This window comes from Homo sapiens, chromosome 3 (genome assembly GCF_000001405.40).
Source record: "Homo sapiens chromosome 3, GRCh38.p14 Primary Assembly".
In the NCBI taxonomy this organism is placed as follows: Eukaryota; Metazoa; Chordata; class Mammalia; order Primates; family Hominidae; genus Homo; species Homo sapiens.
Window position 1 is genome coordinate 36,684,667 of NC_000003.12, and position 19,007 is coordinate 36,703,673.

Genomic DNA, 19,007 nt, shown 5'->3' on the forward strand with positions numbered 1-19,007 from the left:
ACTCAATAATCAATTGTGTTTCTATACACTAAAAACGAGCAATTAAAAAAATAAATTTAAAAAGAAATTAGGAAATAAGCACTTCAAAAATGAAATTAGTAAACAGTGTGGACATTCCTCAAAAAATTACAAATAAAACTATCACACGACTAGCAATGCCACCTCTAGGGCACACATCCAAAATTTGATGCAATCAGGTGCAGCAAAATCTCACAAATCACCACTAAAGGACGTACTCATGCAACCAAATACCACCTGTACCCCAACAACTTATGAAAAAACTAAATAAATAAATAAATAAATTTTTTAAAAATCGATGCAATCCCATTTACAACAGCATCAAAAAGAAATAAAGTTAACAAGGAGACAAAAAGGATGTGAGGGTGATCTCACTGCAACATCTGTCACCCCATTGATTGCCAGCGTTGATTTGGCTGATCCAGCTGGATAGGCAGGTGTCTCTTTTCTCCCTCACTGCTCCATGTGCATCTCTCTTGAAGCTGCGCACTGGTCGAAGGGGACGACCATCACCCATAGAGAAGTACTGGTCTTCAGTCAAGGGTATACAAGAAGCTGCATTCTCCTGTTAGAACCTCCAAACAAGCTCTCAAGGTCCATTTGTAGGAGAATGTAGGGTAGTCAAGCTTCCAAGACTCCAGACACTTCCAAATGAGGTGCTGCATATAGCAGTCTGCCTTTCTTTTGAAAAAACAAAAAAACACAAGGAGACAAAAGACTTGCACAATGAAAACTATAAAACGATGCTAAAATAAATAAAAGAAGACATAAATAAATGGAAAGACATCCTATGTTCATGAATTGGAAGACTTCATTTTGTGAAAATGTCTGTACTGCCCAAAGTAATCTACAGATTCAATCCAATCCCTATTGAAAGCTTAATCACATTTTTTGCAGAAATAAAAGGAATATCCCAAAATTTCTATGGAATCTCAAAGGACCCCAAATAGCCAAAATAATCTTGAGAAAGAAGAACAAAGCTGAAGGCTTCACACTTCCTCACTTCAAAGCATATTACAAAGCTACAGTAATCAAATATTTACATAATATTTTAAGTGTATATTATCATAATAACATAATCAAATATTTACATAAAGCCAAACATATAGACCAATGGAACAGAAAAGAAAGCCCAAAAATAAATCCATAGGTCAAATCATAGCAAGGGTGCCAAGACAACACAACAGAGAAAGCATATTGTCTTCAACAAATAGTAGTTAAAAAATACTTAGTTAGCCAGGCTAACTAAGAAAAAAAAAAATGGAGTGAACACAAGTCACTAATAACAGAAATGAAAGAAAGACATTACTAAAAATCCTATGAACATTAAAATAATAATAAAAGAGTACTATTAATGACTCTATGTCCACAAATTTGATAACCTAATTGAAGTGGATCAATTCGTAGAAAGACACAATCTGTCAAAACTTACACAAGAAGAAATAGACCATTGGAATAGGCGTTTATCTATTAAAGAAATTAAATCAATAATTTATAACCTTCCAAAACAGAAAGAACCAGGCCTAGATGGGTTCACTGGTGAATTCTAGCAAGGATTTAGGAAGAAATACCAATTCTCTACAATCTCTTTCAGAAGACAGAAGCAGAGGGAATACTTCCTAGTTCATTTTATGAGGTCAGTGTTACCTTAATGCAAAAACCAAAGATATAAGAAAATAAAACTACAGACCAATATCTGTTATGAACATAGATGCAAAATTCCTCAACAAAATATTAAGAAATCAAACCTAACAATGTATGAAAAGAATTATACACCACAACCAAGTGAGATTTATTGTAAGTATGCAAACATTGTTTGGCAGTAGAAAACCAATTAATGCAATACATCATATCAACAGGCTAAAGAAGAAAAAACACACAATAGATGTAGAAAAAGCATTTGACAAAACCCAACACCCATTCATGATTTTTTGAAATCTCTCAGTGAATTAGGAATAGAACTTCCTCAAAAACTCTACAGCTAACATACTTAATGGTGAGAAAATGTCAGTTTTCTCACTAAGATCAGGAACAAGCCAAGGAAGTCCCCTCTCATCATTCTGTTTCAACATTGTACTTAAAGTCCTAACTAGTGTAATAAGAAAAGGAAATAACTAACTACAAATAGCAGTTTAAAAATTCAATTTCTATATTAAAAAGAATGAAGATGAACTCTTACCTTACACCAGGAAATAAAAGCTACACTGATTAAGAGTAAATAAATAAAACTGTCTTGCTGAAATAAATAAAAGAAGACATAAATTAATAGAAAGACATCATATGTTCATGAATTGGAAGACTTAATTTTGTTAAAATGTCCATACTACCCAAAGTAACCTACAGATTCAATGCAATCCCTATCAAAAGTTCAATCATAATTTTTGCAGGAAAAAAAAGGAATATCCTAAAATTAATATGAACTCTCAAAGGACCCCAAATATCCAAAATAATCTTGAGAAAGAAGAAAAGCTGGAGGCCTCACACTTCCTGTCTTCAAAGCATGTTACAAAGCTACAGTAGTCAAACCAGTTCACAGGTAACATGACTGTCTATGAAGAAAATCCAAAAAAACTCACAAAAAAAAAAAAAAACCCTGGAACCAAAAGGCAATTTTAACAAGGTGGCAGGATACAAGGTTAATACAAAAAAGTCAATCACTTTCCTTTATGTCAGCAATGAACAAGTAAAATTAAAAATTAAAAAATAATGCCATTTACATAAGCACCTCTTAAAAATAAAATACGTAGGTATAAATCTAATAAAATATGTATACGATCTATATGAGGAAAACTTCCAAACTCTGATCAAACAAATCAAAAGAGCTAAAGAAGTGAAGAGATATTTTTGTTTTGGAGGGTAGGAAGACCCAATAGTGTCATGATGTCAGTTCTTCTCAAGTTGATCTATAGATTTAATGAAATCACAGTCAAAATTCCAGCAAGTTATTTTGTAGCTATTAACAAACTTATTCTAAAGTTTACATATAGAGGCGAAAGGCACAGAATAACCAACACAATATTAAAGGAAGACTGATACTACCTGACCTCATGACATTATAAAGATTCTGTAATCAAGACAGTGTGGTACTGGTGACAGAATAGATAAATATATCAATTTAACAGAATGGAAAGCCTAGAAATAAGCCCACATAAATATAAGTAACTAATCTTTGACAAAGGAGAAAAGACAGTACAGTGGAGCAAAGATAGTCTTTTCAATAAATGGTGCTGGAAAAATTGAACATCCAAATGCAAAAAATAAAATAAAATGAATCTACAGACACACCTTACACCCGTCACAAAAATTAACTCAAGATGCCTCATAGACCTAGATTTAAAATGCAAAACTATAAAACTCCTACAAGATTATATAGGAGAAAATCTAGATAACCTTGGGTTTGGTGATGACTTTTTAGATACATCAAAGGCATGATCCATGAAAGGAAGAATTTATAAGCTGGACTTTATTAAAGTTAAAAAATTTTGATATGAAGGACACTGTCAAGAGAATGAAAAAACAAGCCAAAAGACTGGGAGAAATATTTACAAAAGACGTAGTTGATAAAGGACTGTCGTTCAAAACATAACAAAGATACTCAACAGTAAGAACACAAACAACCCAATTTAAAAATATTGCAAAGACTCTAATAGACACTTCACCAAAGAAGATGCACAGATGGCAAATAAGCATATGAAACGATCCACATCATAAGTCATCAGGGAAATAGAAATTAAAACAACAATGAGATATCCCAATTTAAAAAATAGTTGTTTCCCTGGTAATAGGGGAAGAGATGGTAAAGAGGTGGGGCCTTGAGAAGTTTAGATTCACAACTTATTCTTCCTTGAGTATTTTAATACTTAGTGGCTTTTAGGTAGAAAAATCCAGTTATTTATTTGAACTGAAAATATTTATCATAATCTTATAGCATGTACCAGAAAATAATAAGTTTATTTATTTTGACATCATTCTTTTTGTCCTTTAAAAAAAAAACAGGAAAATAAAATCCAGGAAAAAAATATACCACAACTTGATATTCCCTTAAATGATTGAGTAGGAGAAAACACTGGGGTGGGGGGTGGCACCTAATAAGTTTTTTTCACAGTTACATCGTATAGCTGCAAAATCAAACATCAGTGAGCACGTGGAAGATTTGATTCCACCTGGCTATTATACAAGACTACTGCATGTTTTCCTTTCACTACTGGCACATTTATTAGGCCTGATCTCCCACACATTCTTATCACCTTTATCCTGCTTATAATCTACTTTGTGCTGCTCCACTTACTCCTCTCCAGCTGTTGTCCACCCTTCTCTGTCCTGCTCTGGGCCCCAGCAGGCTGGACTTTGTGGAATGCATTTCCCAGGTTCGTTTGCCCTCTGGCTTCTGATTGGATTTGACAAATGGAGTTACCAGCAAGCAACTGAAGGGCAGAGGGAAGAAATTATGTGTTTATTCCCTGGCTCCATCCCCACTGGACAATAGTTAGACATGGTCTCTGTTTTTCTACCCAAGGTCACATTGCCTTTTGGGAAGGTCCTCTCCAGCAGCTATAGCTCTTGCCAACTTCACATCACCACTAACCCTTTGCCTGTCAGGAAAGGCAATGTCTTCCCACTGATTTTGATCCTATAGTGCCTTGCTACTCTTTGTTAGTGCCCTTCACCCTATCTACATCTTTGCAAACACCTCTTCGTTAAATTCTCCTAAATTATAATTGCTTGCACCATCTGTTCCCTGCAGGACTCTGACCAATCCACCACTGTTAAGATAAACTGAGCACAAAGCCACTTCAACAAAGTATTTGAGTAGCAAACAACAACTTTTTTCATATGTTCATGGAGCAAGCTCCAAGTTAGAATGAATATCTGTCTCCACATTGCATACTAGGCTTCCTAATTAATCTATCGCATCATTTCCAATTTGTATTATGAAAGCTTGTGCTAAACAGAAACTTTAAAGAGATCTGTGTTGTGAGATCCTGCCACAGACGGCAGAGTCTGCATAAAAGAAGAGCTATTCCAACATAAAAACAGAATAGGGGTGGCAGAGAGGCCCCACTGGAGGGAGCCAGCCTTCAGCAGGTGGTGTCAGGGAGGGTCAGAACCAATTGCGAGAGGTTAATTTGGGTTGCTCTGAATGGCCGACCCCAAGAAGATAGTTCAGGATAGGTGATGCCCACAAGTAATTGGGCAGAGGAGGATTCTCATGGTGATTAATTAAAGTCTTGGCCCCTGACTCCTGTAAACTCACAAGGAAAATTAAATTTCCCACTAGATTCCTCCCCTGCCTGGGGACAGAAAAGCCCGTTGTTCAGCCCCTCAGGATGCAGGCAGGCAAAAGAATTATTACAAAAAAATATTCAATTACCTGGGTTCCAAGGGCTGCCTCAACTTTCTCTCCAACTTCAGAGCCTCCGCTAGCCTGCAATAGAGGCAGGGGGAAGAGGGGTGACCTGCACCAAGCCTCCTGCCTCATGCTGGGCACTTTACACACCTTCTTTCGTGAAAGATGACACTCTATATTACCCCGAAGGATAGATATACACAGAGGGAGCCACTGACCTTCCTGATGAAACAGGCATCAAGAGGCAAAGCCATCCTGGTTAATATTCCAGGGTCATAGAAGGTTATCCTGCCTTACTTAATTTATTTAACAAAATACAGCAAGGAGGTTTGGGGGACGGAAGCGGGGAAAGGATAAATAGGTGAATAGGTGAAGCACAGGGGATATTAAGGGCAGTGAAACTATTCTCTATGAAACTGTAATGGGAGATACATGTCTTTATGCATTTGTCAAAACCCATAGAACTATACAACTCAAAGAGTCAACCTTAATGTAATCTATGGGTTATAGTCAATAGTAATGTATTAATAATGGTTTAATTGTAACATATGTACCACACTAATGCAAGGTGTTTCTAGTAGGGAAATTGTGTTCTTTGGGTGGAGGGGAGTGGAAGGATGAGTATATGGAACTCTCTATACTATCTGCTCAATTGTCCTGTAAATCTAAAACTGTACTTAAAAACAGCCTATTGGTTATAAAATATGATGATGGTGATGATAATGCCACCCACTGAGCACCTACCCATCTTTATTGCCTTGGAGTGCATCTTGCCCTTCTCCCATCGGAGGTATAGGAGGCATTGTAGCTAGGTCTATTTGGCTGATCTGGACATGCCAAGCATGGGGATGGCCCAATGTTAAAGTGTCCAGCTACAGTTCAGTGTCACAATATACTAAGAACTCAATGAAAAAGGGGGCAGTAAACCTCCTGATGAAACACCTCTAAATTAAGGGCAAAGGCCATGGTAGCAAGAAGACTCCTCCCTGACAATATCACTAGCAGTCAGCAGAAATTGGGAAGGGCTGTGACATGCTCACAGTTATTTTTTTTTTTTTGTCTTTTAATGTGTATGCGTATCATCATGAGTGAATACTTCTGAGGTAAGAAGGAGGTAACTATATCCAGACTTCCATGATGTAATGCTTATCACGGCATTCTAAAAATGCCTTAAGATACTAGGAACCTAAGATTTTCTACGCCATTCCAAGAACCCAAGGAATCAAGCTTCTGAAAAGGGTGTGGGATTACTGTGGGTTCTCAGGAGGGCAAAGCGTGAGACCTGGGAGCATAGTGTTTTAGGGAGGTGATCCCAGGAAGCAGAAGTGAGGGAGCGAGGGAGGCAGGAGAAGGAGGAAGGCCAACAGCAGCAGGGTAAAAGGGCCTGATAGCTGGCAACTGGTAGCTGATGACAATCTCCACGGAATATCAAAAATAATCAGACCAGCCACTTATAGTGGAACAAAATAAAAGGAAAGCACCCACAATCATGACTGAACACAAAGACAAGGACACCGAGGAGCCACAGAAATAATCAAATATCTCCTTCTTTCTAATATGAATGTGTTCGGCCTCTTTATCAACAACAACCCTAGCTCCACTTCATCAGTCCTGCCTCTTAGATAAAAATTATTAAAATATCCAGTCATCAAATTCCCCTAATACCCCATTCAGCACTCAATTCAGGGAATAAAAAAACTTACTGCCTACAATCCTCTTCAAAATCACCCAGCACAAGTCTACCTTAACTCTTTATTACAACTCCCCATGGTATGGTTCTCCCTCATTGCAGCAAACTGTAAACCCTTACCTTGTTTGACTTCAGATAGGTCCTGTGGCCTTTGGCTGATGGACGTTTATACTACTGTGTATTTGTGAGTATATTAGTGAGTTAATCACCAATGCGGGCAACTGGGGATCAATCCCATGTGGACCACGGAGAAACTGCCTAGAACACATCCCAGAATTGTGCTACCAGAAGATGGAGAGACTGAAGAATCCATCTGGGACTCCCATTCTCCTTTACTTGAAAGTTTCTCCTGGGGCATTAACTCCTCTACATTTTTGGATTGTGCCTGCCTGAGGCTGAGTGACCTTTCACAGCATCAGAGGACTCCCAGGGACAGGAACACAGAGAAACACCTTGAGTTGTGCTCCTAGTACACTCATTGTGGGTCTTATGAAGTGCATGGAATTGTCCACCAGACATGTCCCAATACTAGGTGGTCCAAGGGGGTATGGTGCCATGCAAACTTCTGCCACAGGTGTCCTGGTACTCATGATAATCATGATTTTACTGATACAAAAAACAAGACTCAAAGAGATTAGAAGTGTTGAACTAGGCCACATAGCTGTTTGCTCAATATTAAAAAAAACCAGCATTGCTGAGGTTAGGCATGGTGGCTCACACTTGTAATCCCAGCACATTGGGAGGCAGAAGCAGAAAGATCACTTCAGCCCAGGAGTTTGAGACCAGCCTGGGAAAGATGGCAAAACCCTGTCTCTACAAAAAACATAAAAATTAGCCAGGTGGCTACATGGTGGCATGCACCTGTAGTTCCAGCTACTCCAGAGGCTGAGTGGGGTGGATCACTTGAGCCTGAGAGGTAAAGTCTCCAGCAAGCCATAATCATGCCACTTCACTCCAACCTGGGCAACGGAGTGAAACCCTCTCTTGAAAAAAAAAATTATTTGCTAAAATTTTTCTGTCAGAGACACATTTTTGCTCTTTTTGTTAGATGCATTTCTATGATATTGTAAATAAGAGGGAATGTGTTAAGTCCCACTTCTCACCCTGTCAAGTAGTAGAATGGGGTTTGTGAGTTACCTGCTACTGCAAGCCATCTTAAGGAATATGCAGAATCACATGGAGCAATGGTTTGCAAACTCTTTTTTAGTCGCGGAACCCTTTTCTTCTTCAGGGGAAATCTTATGAGAAACACATAGCACAGATGAAAGTCCAGAGCTTCCCCTACTTGAGACGTACCCCATGGCCTCAGTCAGCTTCTGAGGCCCCTCCAGGAATGCCCAGGACTCTATAGAGCACAGAAGTAAATCAGGAGTAAATAACAGAATATTGGAGTTCTAGGCACCTACACCAGGCTGACCTCTATCAGCCTGTTACACTGAGCTATTCATGTCACCATTCAGGGTTTTGCTGCCTTATCTATGAGATGGTGCTCCTTTGGCGCTAGGATTCCAGTTTCTTTATTACATTGTAGAAATACTTCATATATCAACCTTTGATTGAAGGTTAGCCCCAACCCTGCTAACATGATTCACAGCTAATCCTACTCATCCTTCAAATACAAAACTCAACTGTTTCCATAGTCCCCATGCATCAGTAGCACCTGCTGTAACAACTACTCTCCTTTATTGTTTATTTGTTGAAACACATTTTCTTGTCCCCCTGCTACCAGCAGGGGTGCATGGTCCTTGATCCTGGGAGATTTGGGAGAAAGAATTCAGCCAAGAGACAATTAGTAATGCAAGCAAAAGGTTTATTAAAGACATAAGAGTACACTCCCAAAGAGGATTGGGCTGATGCAGCTGGAAAACAGCTTCAGGCTGGCCCAGCTGGAAAAATAACAGTAGCAGTGTCATCAAGAAAGTGTTTAAAGAGACAGTACGAGAAGAAGTCAGAGTGGGCTGCCTGAAAGAGAGACTGAGCCAGTAGCAGCTAGTGCCACAGGACTCTCTTTATGAGAATCCTACATGATTATTCATGTAAGGGCATGAGAGGGTGTCACTTGCAAGCACGTTTTAGGAAGTCCCCTTGGACATGCATGCTCTGTGGTTGTCCGTGCTAGTACACACATCGCATGTCTCTCCAGCATTTAAAATCTCCACCAAGGGGTGTGTTTTTACTACTCTAATGGGCAAAAGGGTACTCTATGTTGAGTTACTGGAGGAGTGTGCATGCTTGACAGCAGGGAAAGTCCCTACCATGGTTATCTCCAGCAAGGGCCAAATAAGTCCCCTTCGGGGTCAGAGGAGCCCAACCACAAGGCCAGAAGCAGCCAGTGTAGCCACTGTCTTTTTTTGCTGTCAGTGGGCAGCATCTCTAGGACTTATTTTCCCAGGGACTCCCTTGCCTGCTCATTTCTGGCTGTCTGCCTATTCTAACACCCCCATGACTCTTATCACATAGCTGAACATAAGGACAAGGCTAAGCAAAATCTTCTGCTCTTGCTTTCAATTTTCCTTGGGAAACAAAGGAAAATCATGGCAAAGCTACATGATTAATTGCTAAGTATACCGAGCAGAAACTAGAGAGCTTTAGGAGCCCAAAGACCCACGGACACTGGAAAATATAAGGGGAACATTTTTCAACAGTCTACTACATGGATTTAAGGGTAAAATGATATAATGTTTGGGGTTTGCTTAAAAACTCTCCAAAAACATAAAAAGCGGGAGGACTGATGTAACAAGATTGGCAAAATGTTGCTAGCTATTAAAGCTGGGTCTTAGGTACCTAGAAGTTTATAATGTTCTCTACTTTGGAATATATCTGAAATTTTTCATTATAAAAGGGTAGATTTTTACATACACTGTGTATGATGCCCATCTTAAACATTTGGCACGTTATATTGTTTAATCTTTAAAAATGAAGAATCCAAGAGTCAGAGTGATTAAGTAATTTACTTAAAGAGTGATGAAGATAGGATTTCCCTTGAGCTCTCTGACTCTAAAAAAGGCCCCAAGAGATGGAATTTGAATTTTTCTTTGACTTCTAGGAAGGTAAAAATATTCCAGGAGGATAGCAACATGAACAAACCCCAGGATAAGACCCACAAGATGGGACCAACAGTATAAGGAGATGGTTTCACAGCTCATAAATATATATATTTTATTATCCAGTTAATACAAGCCAATTGTCTCATCACCTAATCAACCCTGAATAAACTAATAGAGGCAGATCAATGAGGCTGAAAATCAGGTATTGGAATAGAAGAACAATCAGTTTGAGTATCCAGGGAAATGAAAGTAGGACTTGAAAATACCCCATGAATTGCTCTGTCTCAGCTGTGTCCTAACTCCAATGTGAGAATGACAGGGACAGGGTACCCTGAAGCTGGATGAGGCAGAGGCTCTGGATCCTCTTAACTTTCCTTTCTCCTTCCTTTTTCACTCCCAGCTCCTGGGCAAAAATAAAAATAAAAAATAACTTACTAAGCACTCGACAGCATGCTAGGTGCCAGGCTGGATGCCAGAGATTTGGAGGTACAATAGACCTGTCCAGCCCTCCAAGAGCTGCAAGGAGGAAGCAGACCCTACATTTCACTATGAAGCAAGAATGGAGCTTAGGTAAACAACTAGAGAGGGCTGCCCAAGGAAACGTAGGCATGTTTAAGATGTGTTTGGCTGGGAGGTGAAGGTGGGAGGTATTACTGAAAGGTGATAGAAAAGAAGGTTATAAAGGAAGGTAAAGGATTGCCTTTAGACTTCAGTGCCAGGCAAAGGGTATTGCAAAGCCATTGAGGTTTTTTGAGCAATACAGAGAAGTATCTCATATGCACTGTGGTAGATTACATTTTGAAGGCCAATTTTTTACACCTCCCTATGTCCACACCCTTTCCCACGTGATTTTCCAGTTCCCTGTGTTGACACCAGTGGAGTGTATTTCACCACCCCTTGATTTTGGGATCAGCTCTCAAAGTTACCAATGGGATCTGAGCAGATATGTCATGAAGCTGAGGCTTGAAATATGCTTTTGTAGTGGAGTATTCCTGTGTACTTCTGCCATTGCCATAATAAGGACATGCCCTGGATAGACTGCTGGCCCAGGAAGCATGAGAGACACTGCCCAAGAGACCTACAGACTTGCAGTGAGAAGTAGAGCTTCCCCAGCTATTGCAGTCAAAGCAGATCCACTCAGCTGTGTTACATCAGTCAATCCTCAGCCAACTCATGATACATGGGCAAACCCAGCTGAGATCAACAGACACATCCACTAACCTGCAGATGAATGTTCCTGTTGTATATTCCTGAGATTTTTGTGGTTGCTCATTACATGTAATAGCTGACTAACACACTACCATATTTCCCTCCAAAAAAATTTAAAAATACTTTGTCAAGGAAACTAATCACTCCGTGATCAACCGTGGGTACTTGTGAGGTTAAGGCTAGGAAGTATTTCCCTCCTTTTTTTGTGGAAGGAAGGGCAGGAGAGTGCTGGAAACAACTGTGGAGAAGTCATGGTTCTGGGTAAGACAATGTGCTCATACGCCTCCTATGTATCTGACCTAGCCTAACTCTCCCAAACCTTCTAGAAAAAAACAAATTCTTAGAAGTTAGGAGTATTCTAGAAGGTTCTAGGAAATGTTCAACCAATCCTGGAGAGTTGACAAGCAAACTGCCCTAGAAAAGTAAATATTGTAAGTCACCAAAACATTGACAACCTTCCACACAACTTTCAAACCTAAATATTGCTGAGGTTTTGCAGTTTGCATCCATAAAAAACACACTTTCATCATATCAATGGAAATTTGGTTTATAACAAATTGATCTTTTTCAGCATCTGAAAACCCACATATCTGAAGTCATAATCAACATGCCCAACATGTCCTGGGTATGTCTAACTCATTTTAGTTCTCTGATTTTAAAATGTTGGCTGACCTCAACTATTTTAAAAGGTTAAAATGGTATAGTCCTCACAACTGTCAGCAACTCTGTTATTAGAAAAAAAAATTGTACAATTTGAACATTTCAGTCCCAAGACCTTATCTTCTTTTCACGACAGCTAGTTCCAGGCAAGCTTGGGCAAAGCAGCCCTATGCATTTATTACTACCCTGATCGAGAAATTGAGGCTTTTAGCTGGTGAGAGAAAGAGAGAGAGAGAGAGAGAATTAGTTGTCCCCAGGACTGACATTCAAACCCTAACAAACTTTCTCTTTCTCACAGACAGAGATGGGGCAGAAATGTACCTTGAGTGCTTTGCAACCCTCAAGTGTGGCCACAGCCTCACAGCTGTCTCCAGGCCCCCAGGCCCTGTCCTTCCAGACATCCCTTTACAGCAGATGCAGCTCAGCTCAGCTCACATCCTGGTTAATCCCGGAAAACATGCTCTCCATGGCTGGCACTGTCCATAGGAAGAATCAGAAGATCTCAAAGCAGCAATTTAACAAACCCCTTCTGACTTTCAGGACTTTTAATCTAGCTTTTTATAGCATCTATAACAAAATAGACCTTATCAAAGTGTAAAAAGCACTCTTATGCTTTTTTGTAAATGTGCATAAGCCCCTCCCACAACCCCACAGCTTCCCCCAGCGTCACTCAGCTTCTGAGCCCTTTCCTATCAACAACCCCATCCTCTGACCCCCGACAGCCTCAGCTTATCCCTCTCCTGCTCCCTGTCAAAGCATCAGTCCATCCCTGAGCCTGGTCCACCCACACTCTCCCTCGCTGACCTCTGGGATGGAGGGAAGCTAAGCCAAGGAGATTGGGTGAGGATCAGGGACCAGGTCTGCACATTTAGAGTTTATCCATGAAGCTTGTCATTGCCATGAGCAAGAATATCTTGTTATGATGACATAACCCTTATCTCGTCAGACAGAAATATCCCATTTTGAGAGACTAAACGTAGCATGGCAGAAAATGAGAAAGATACCAAACACAGATTGTCAGGGAAAGCATTTATCAGAAGCCAATATAGTTCCAATCCCTCAGGTTTAGGGTCAGGGAGCAGGATGCAGGCCCAGGCATTGCTGCACCTAACTAAAGTCAGTCGCTCCCTGATCACAGCCAAGCTAGCTCCCCAGGCCAGACACACAGTGTCCCCTGGTGACAAGGATAGATTCTCTCCTCGCCTGGCGTAAAAGGAACATGATACTGCCCACAGCACCATATCCTGGTTCCTTGATGATGTGCCAAAATGCAGAGCCTGAAGACACCAGCAAAACCTAAACCAAAAGGGTATACCCTAAAAGTCAAAGCTTCACCCTGCTTTTAATTCTTTCTCTCACCTGCTCACTCTTGTTCAACTGCCAATATTTATCCAGTCCTGGTAATGAGTATAATAAGGAAAAACTCAGACATACCCAAGTTCAATTTGAAATAAAGCAATTTATTTATTTTCTTTGTTGGGTTGCATTAGACATCAAATCAGCCAGGACCACTGTTGGAATGTGCCAAGAGGTGTTCTTTCAGCCCAGCTGGGTACAGAAAATGACTATTTCCAGGTAAAAGTATCATGAAGTCCCTGCCATGATAACTCTTAGTCTTACAGGGGAACTCCAGCAGACAAAGGGGACACAGAATGTTCTGAAAGTGAGCAGGAAAGAGAACCGTGGAGCATCATAAGCAAAGCAGGCCATCAAGGTACTATAAACACTTGAAAGAGAATACTTCCTTTGAGATATTAACCTGTGTTCTGCTCAGCACTGTTTTCCTCTCATTGGATTTCATGCAAGCAGCCTTTGTAATTCTTTACCTCAGGGCATTTTTGCAGAGCCAGGGACAGAAGCTACTTGAGGTCAGAAACCTGTTCTGTTCTCTGTAACAACCCTCTGATGAGGAAATACTGGGTGTCCCATAAACAATGGAAAGAGGGCTCTTATGCTGGCAACGAGAGAGTGCAGGGCAGAACTCCTGATGGTAAAAATGTCTATGAGCCCCATGAGTTTATGGGGACAGTATTCCAAGTAGGTCCTAAGACCTCGAGGGGATACTGGGGTCAGGGGGCTGGACCAGTGACCCAAAGCACCAGGCCTCCTGGCCTCACCAAAGATTATGGTGTCTCAAGTGAAACATAAACAGGCCTCAGCACTAGCCAGTGTGGACCCATGGCTCATGACTGGAGAGGTTTTCCCCTTTGTGTATCTCCATGAAGGACCCCCAGGACCTTGGCACAACCCCAGGGTGAAGAGATGCCCACAGTTATACCAGAGGTGAAACTTCCTGTCAGCCTAGCAGCATGGGGCTTCTATATTACAACATAAAAAGGCTGGGCACGGTGGCTCATGCCTGTAATACCAGCATTTTGAGAGGCCAAGGCGGGTGGATCACCAGAGGTCAGGAGTTCAAGACCAGCCTGACCAATATGGTGAAACCCTGTCTCTACTAAAAATACAAAAAATTAGCTGGGCGTGATGGCACATGCCTGTAATCCCAGCTACTCGGGAGGCTGAGGCAGGAGCATCGCTCGAACCCAGGAGGCAAAAGTTGCAGTGAGCCAAAATTGTGCCATTGTACTCCAGTCTGGGCAACAAGAGCGAAACTCCATCACAAAAAAACAAAAAACAAAACAATATTACAACATAAAAGAGGTGATCCTTCCCGCCCACCCTACATTAAAGACTCAGGTTTATACCACCCCAAACACTTGGGCAGGACCAGACTTTGCAAAACCTGCTACTAGAATTATAGGGACCTAGGAGGAAATATAAGATGGAGACTGAGGACAAAGACTCAGAAGTAAGGAATTAAAATCCAAGCATTTAAAACCCATAGCCACACACAGTCCCCATAGTGGACCAAGACAAACCTAGTATTTGACCTGCATTAGTGAAGAGTGACTGGATCCTTAGTGAGGGGCACCTGGAAACACAAATCAGAGCCTCTGATTAGCAGCTACAGCTGTTGTGTGTGGTCACTTTGCCCTTTGAGTTCTAAATAAAATTGGCTCAGGCATATTTCTCACAAGGTATAGGAGGTTTGGTGAATTTCTGGGAATGCATAATCAGAATATTTTTCTTAAGAAGACCAGGAGAACTGGCAGGGTCTCTAAGATTTTTGTCTTCCTTTCCAGACAGGCCTTATGTGAGACTTAGATGTATAGTCAGTTTTGTTCTCAAAAGGCAATTACTCAATTGTCAAAACTCATCAAACTAAACACTTAAGATCAGTGTGTTTTATTATATGTTAATTAGCCCTCAACTTAAAAAAAAGCCACACTTGTTATGGGAGTCCCTAAAATCTGGAAGCATAGATATATGTATGTCATCAAAGATATCTTCAATCTGATGTTATAATGTCTACAAGTCCCACACTTGACGATGCCCTAGATTGAGTTACATTATTGGAGACTGAATGTATATAATATTGTCAGTCTACAGCATGAGTTCAATCTATTTCAACAATAGGGATTACCTGGGCCAGACAGACCCAGGTGAACAGCCCCTAGTACAATGCCAGCATGACAATGTACATAGGTTTTGCACTATGGTTGGGGGGAAATTCTGGTGTTTTTAAAAACTGGATTGGAAGAGAAAGACCTAAGCTGTGTTACTCATCCACTCGGCTCCCTTGAGCAAGTTTATTTCCCCTTCCTGGGCATTAGATATCCAGATGTAAGAGGAGTAAGGTGAACAAGATGATAGCTACATCTTAAACTTTATGACTCTATGTTGAATATCTCCAGAAAAACTCCGGGTGACTTTCATTATAAATCATATAAGTGAGACATCCTATAAATGAACATCCTTAAGAAGATGCTGTTATTCCAAGATTCCAAATAGAAAAACAAGCCTTAGCGTGGTTGAGGCCACATAGCAAATTGAAAACAAAGTGTCTTATGATCCCACACAATTGAAGAGAAATGTATACTGGGATTTTCATGTTGCTAAGGGTAAAATCACCAGATTTGCATTTTAAAGACCCTTTTGACTGTTTGCAGACTAGAGCAGAAAGGACTTATACCTCTGCCTTAGCATGAGAATTGACCAGCTAGCCTGCAAGTGTGGGGCTCTGGAGTGGACTAGCTTAGAAAGATCCAGTCTGCCTGTATCTAGGGAGGTACAAAGGTCTCCCCAGCAAACCACTGGCTATCAGGCTGGGGCCAGCATTGCTTTTACAGCCCAGGAAAAAAAAAAAAAAAAAAAAAAAAAAAAATATATATATATATATATATATATATGTGTATATATATATATATATATATGTATGTATATATATATAGAACATAGCCCAAGGACCAAACTGCAGCCCAGCAGTCACTTGCCTGTGCTTTATTAGGCTAAGCTTGGCTGACTCGGCCCAGATAAGGTCATCACATAGAGGGTATTTTTTAAAGATTAAAAAGCAACAAACCCACTGCAATGCAACACCAGTAAATTATATCTCATAGACGACCAACGCACCCAGGACTGCAGGCCCTGTGTGATTCCAATGTCAAGAGCACCACCTGCTGCCCAGGCTGTGCAAAGCCTGGTTTGTCTTTCCTTTCTCTTCAACATCAACAAAATGTGCTTCAATGGAGAGGGTCTCAAACTGAATGAGTATGCTATCAAAGTCCAAGATGTGTGATCTGTTGCATTATTTTTCACTTTTATAATAAATTTTTAAAGTTAATCCAAACATATGCCAGGTTGTCAGACTGATAAAGTAAAGGAAAATCATAAAACCAGATTCCAGACCTTTATTTTGCATTGTTAGGATATTGCTAGGAGGTCGTGGCAGGTGCTGTTATTTTAATTGTTGAAGGTTAATGAAACAGAACAGAAGTGGACTAACTCATTAAGGAAGCATTTATACTAACAAAAGCCAAAGGACTCAGCTGCAAGCTCCACAGTGATTACGGAAAAGTGATGTGAGACTTAAGTGATGCAGGGTTCACAAGGGTGTAAGCACACCTAACTCAAAAGAACCTGAGACAGAGCAGTTAGGAGCTTGTTTGTAGCATGAAAAATAAGAAAGAAAAGCATCATCTACCCCATTAAGTTGACATAGATTATTGATGTAGTTTTATTTTAACTTAATTTGCAATGTTATTTTGCTTTATGATTATTGATTACAAGGGTAAGAAATGTATACCTAGTATTGTTTGAAATATTTAAGTTTCATTGTATAAAATGATTTAATTACTTCTAACTGGTCTTCCTCTCTCTCTCTCTCTCTCTCTCTCTCTCTCTCTCTCTCTCTCTCTCTCTCTCGCTGTCTCTCTCTCTCACTCACACACACAGTATTATTTGTTAAATGAATTAGTAAGTAATATCAACACAGAGAGTTTGCCAGAATTTCTTTCCTCTAAAAAAGATCCATACGTGACTCAGTATTAGTCAGGTTTTGGCTGAGATAGTGCCATGCTGTGTAACAACCCCAATGTTTCAATGACTTACAGTAACAACGATTTGTTTTCCTCATTCACGTGTCTGCAGGTCACTTAGGGCCACTCTGCATCAGTCTACAGGCCAGGTTCATGTCTGCTCCATGTGTCTCTCATCTGTGAACCAGAAGTTCTCAGGACATGCAGACGGCAGAAGCACGAGAGGCCAAACAGGCAAATATATGTAAAGCCTCTGCTCATATCTCATTGGCCAAAGCCAGTCACATGGCTAACATCAATGGAGGAGAGAAGCACATTCCCTCCCACGAAGGTTGCCTAGGATGAGGGAGAGGTGGAAAGGTAGAATTATGGCTAAATAATACATCTATTGCAGATCCACATTTTAGAAGCACTGCTTTCAAGGAAAGGAATAATTTACTTTCCCACTACTTCCTTTAAAAAAATGTAGCACCTCCAATCCAAGTGGTAAATTAAGTCCATGTAATTTATTCTCTTCCCCCATCAAATCTCCATCAAAATAACAAAATAAACTTCAGGGTAAGAAATTCTAAGTCAGCCGGGCGCAGTGGCTCACGCCTGTAACCCCAGCACTTTGGGAGGCCGAGGCGGGAGGATCACAAGATCAGGAGATCGAGACCATCCTGGCTAACACCGTGAACCCCCGTCAGTACTAAAAATACAAAAAAATTAGCCCGGCGTGATGGCAGGCACCTGCAGTCCCAGCTACCCGGGAGGCTGAGGCAGGAGAATGGCGTGAACCCGGAAGGCGGAGCTTGCAGTGAGCCGAGATGGCACCAACGCACTCCAGCCTGGGCGACAGAGCGAGACTCTGTCTCAAAAAAAAAACAACGTTCTAAATCCTAACAGGTTTCTTAACAGGAAGCCAGAGAAGGGCTTTAAGCCTAAAACTTAAAAACTGAAATAGGGGTTAAACTGATAAAGGGAACCTGGAAGAAGTGCTGTCCTTTTCACCATCTGCTACATGGACGTCTAAGAAGGGCTCAACTGGGCATGAAGTGATGGGATGCCAGGAACCTGGCTTTCACCTGAGCTTGGGACCAAAGAAGTTAGAGATGGAGGTGGATGGTGCTTGCAGTCAGTGGAGAACAATGCCTTGCAGGAGTGGCCCTGTGGCCTGTTGCCAAGGTCCCAAGGAATGGAATTGAGGGTGACCTCAGCTCTCATTGGTGATCATCCTGCATACACTGTACATGGGGATAGTCAGCCCTAGGGTACATAGGCCCTGCTGGTAATGACTCCTGCCATTGGCCACTGGGCTGGGTGGTGAGAAGACCTTGCTCTTGGCAGCCTTGGGCTGCTGACATGGACATGGAAGAGAAAATGCTCAAAGGTGGCACTCCTATGGTAAGATGCCTCCCTCCATGGAGAGGAAGCCCTCCACTGACCCTCAATGGACCTGCCCGAGTGTCCAGTATTATGCAAATGAGACCAGTCTTGTCTATGAAAATAAACAATGGGAATAATCACAGGATGTGAGAAATGACTCCACAGTTTAAAAGAAGCAGCCCATCTGGGCACGGTGGCTCACTCCTATAATCCCAGCACTTTGAGAGGCTGAGGCAGGAGAATCACTTGAGCCCAGGAGTTTGAGCCCAGCCTGGGCAGTGTGGTGTAAC

The 19,007-nt window shown here is 41.0% G+C and overlaps 1 pseudogene, besides 2 other annotated features; it reads left to right on the top strand.

The window, feature by feature from the left end:
• On the top strand, nucleotides 374-704 carry RN7SKP227 (RN7SK pseudogene 227; annotated as a pseudogene).
• Nucleotides 13,403-14,057: an enhancer, noted in NCBI's record as "NANOG hESC enhancer chr3:36739560-36740214 (GRCh37/hg19 assembly coordinates)". NCBI's record gives its function as "activates a minimal SCP1, AML or CMV promoter by ChIP-STARR-seq in naive H9 embryonic stem cells {active_cell/tissue: H9 hESC(naive)}" and the evidence as "EXISTENCE:reporter gene assay evidence [ECO:0000049][PMID:30033119]".
• Nucleotides 16,312-16,606: an enhancer, noted in NCBI's record as "tiled region #13437; K562 Activating DNase matched - State 12:CtcfO". NCBI's record gives its function as "activates a minimal TATA promoter and a strong SV40 promoter by Sharpr-MPRA in K562 cells {active_cell/tissue: K562}" and the evidence as "EXISTENCE:reporter gene assay evidence [ECO:0000049][PMID:27701403]".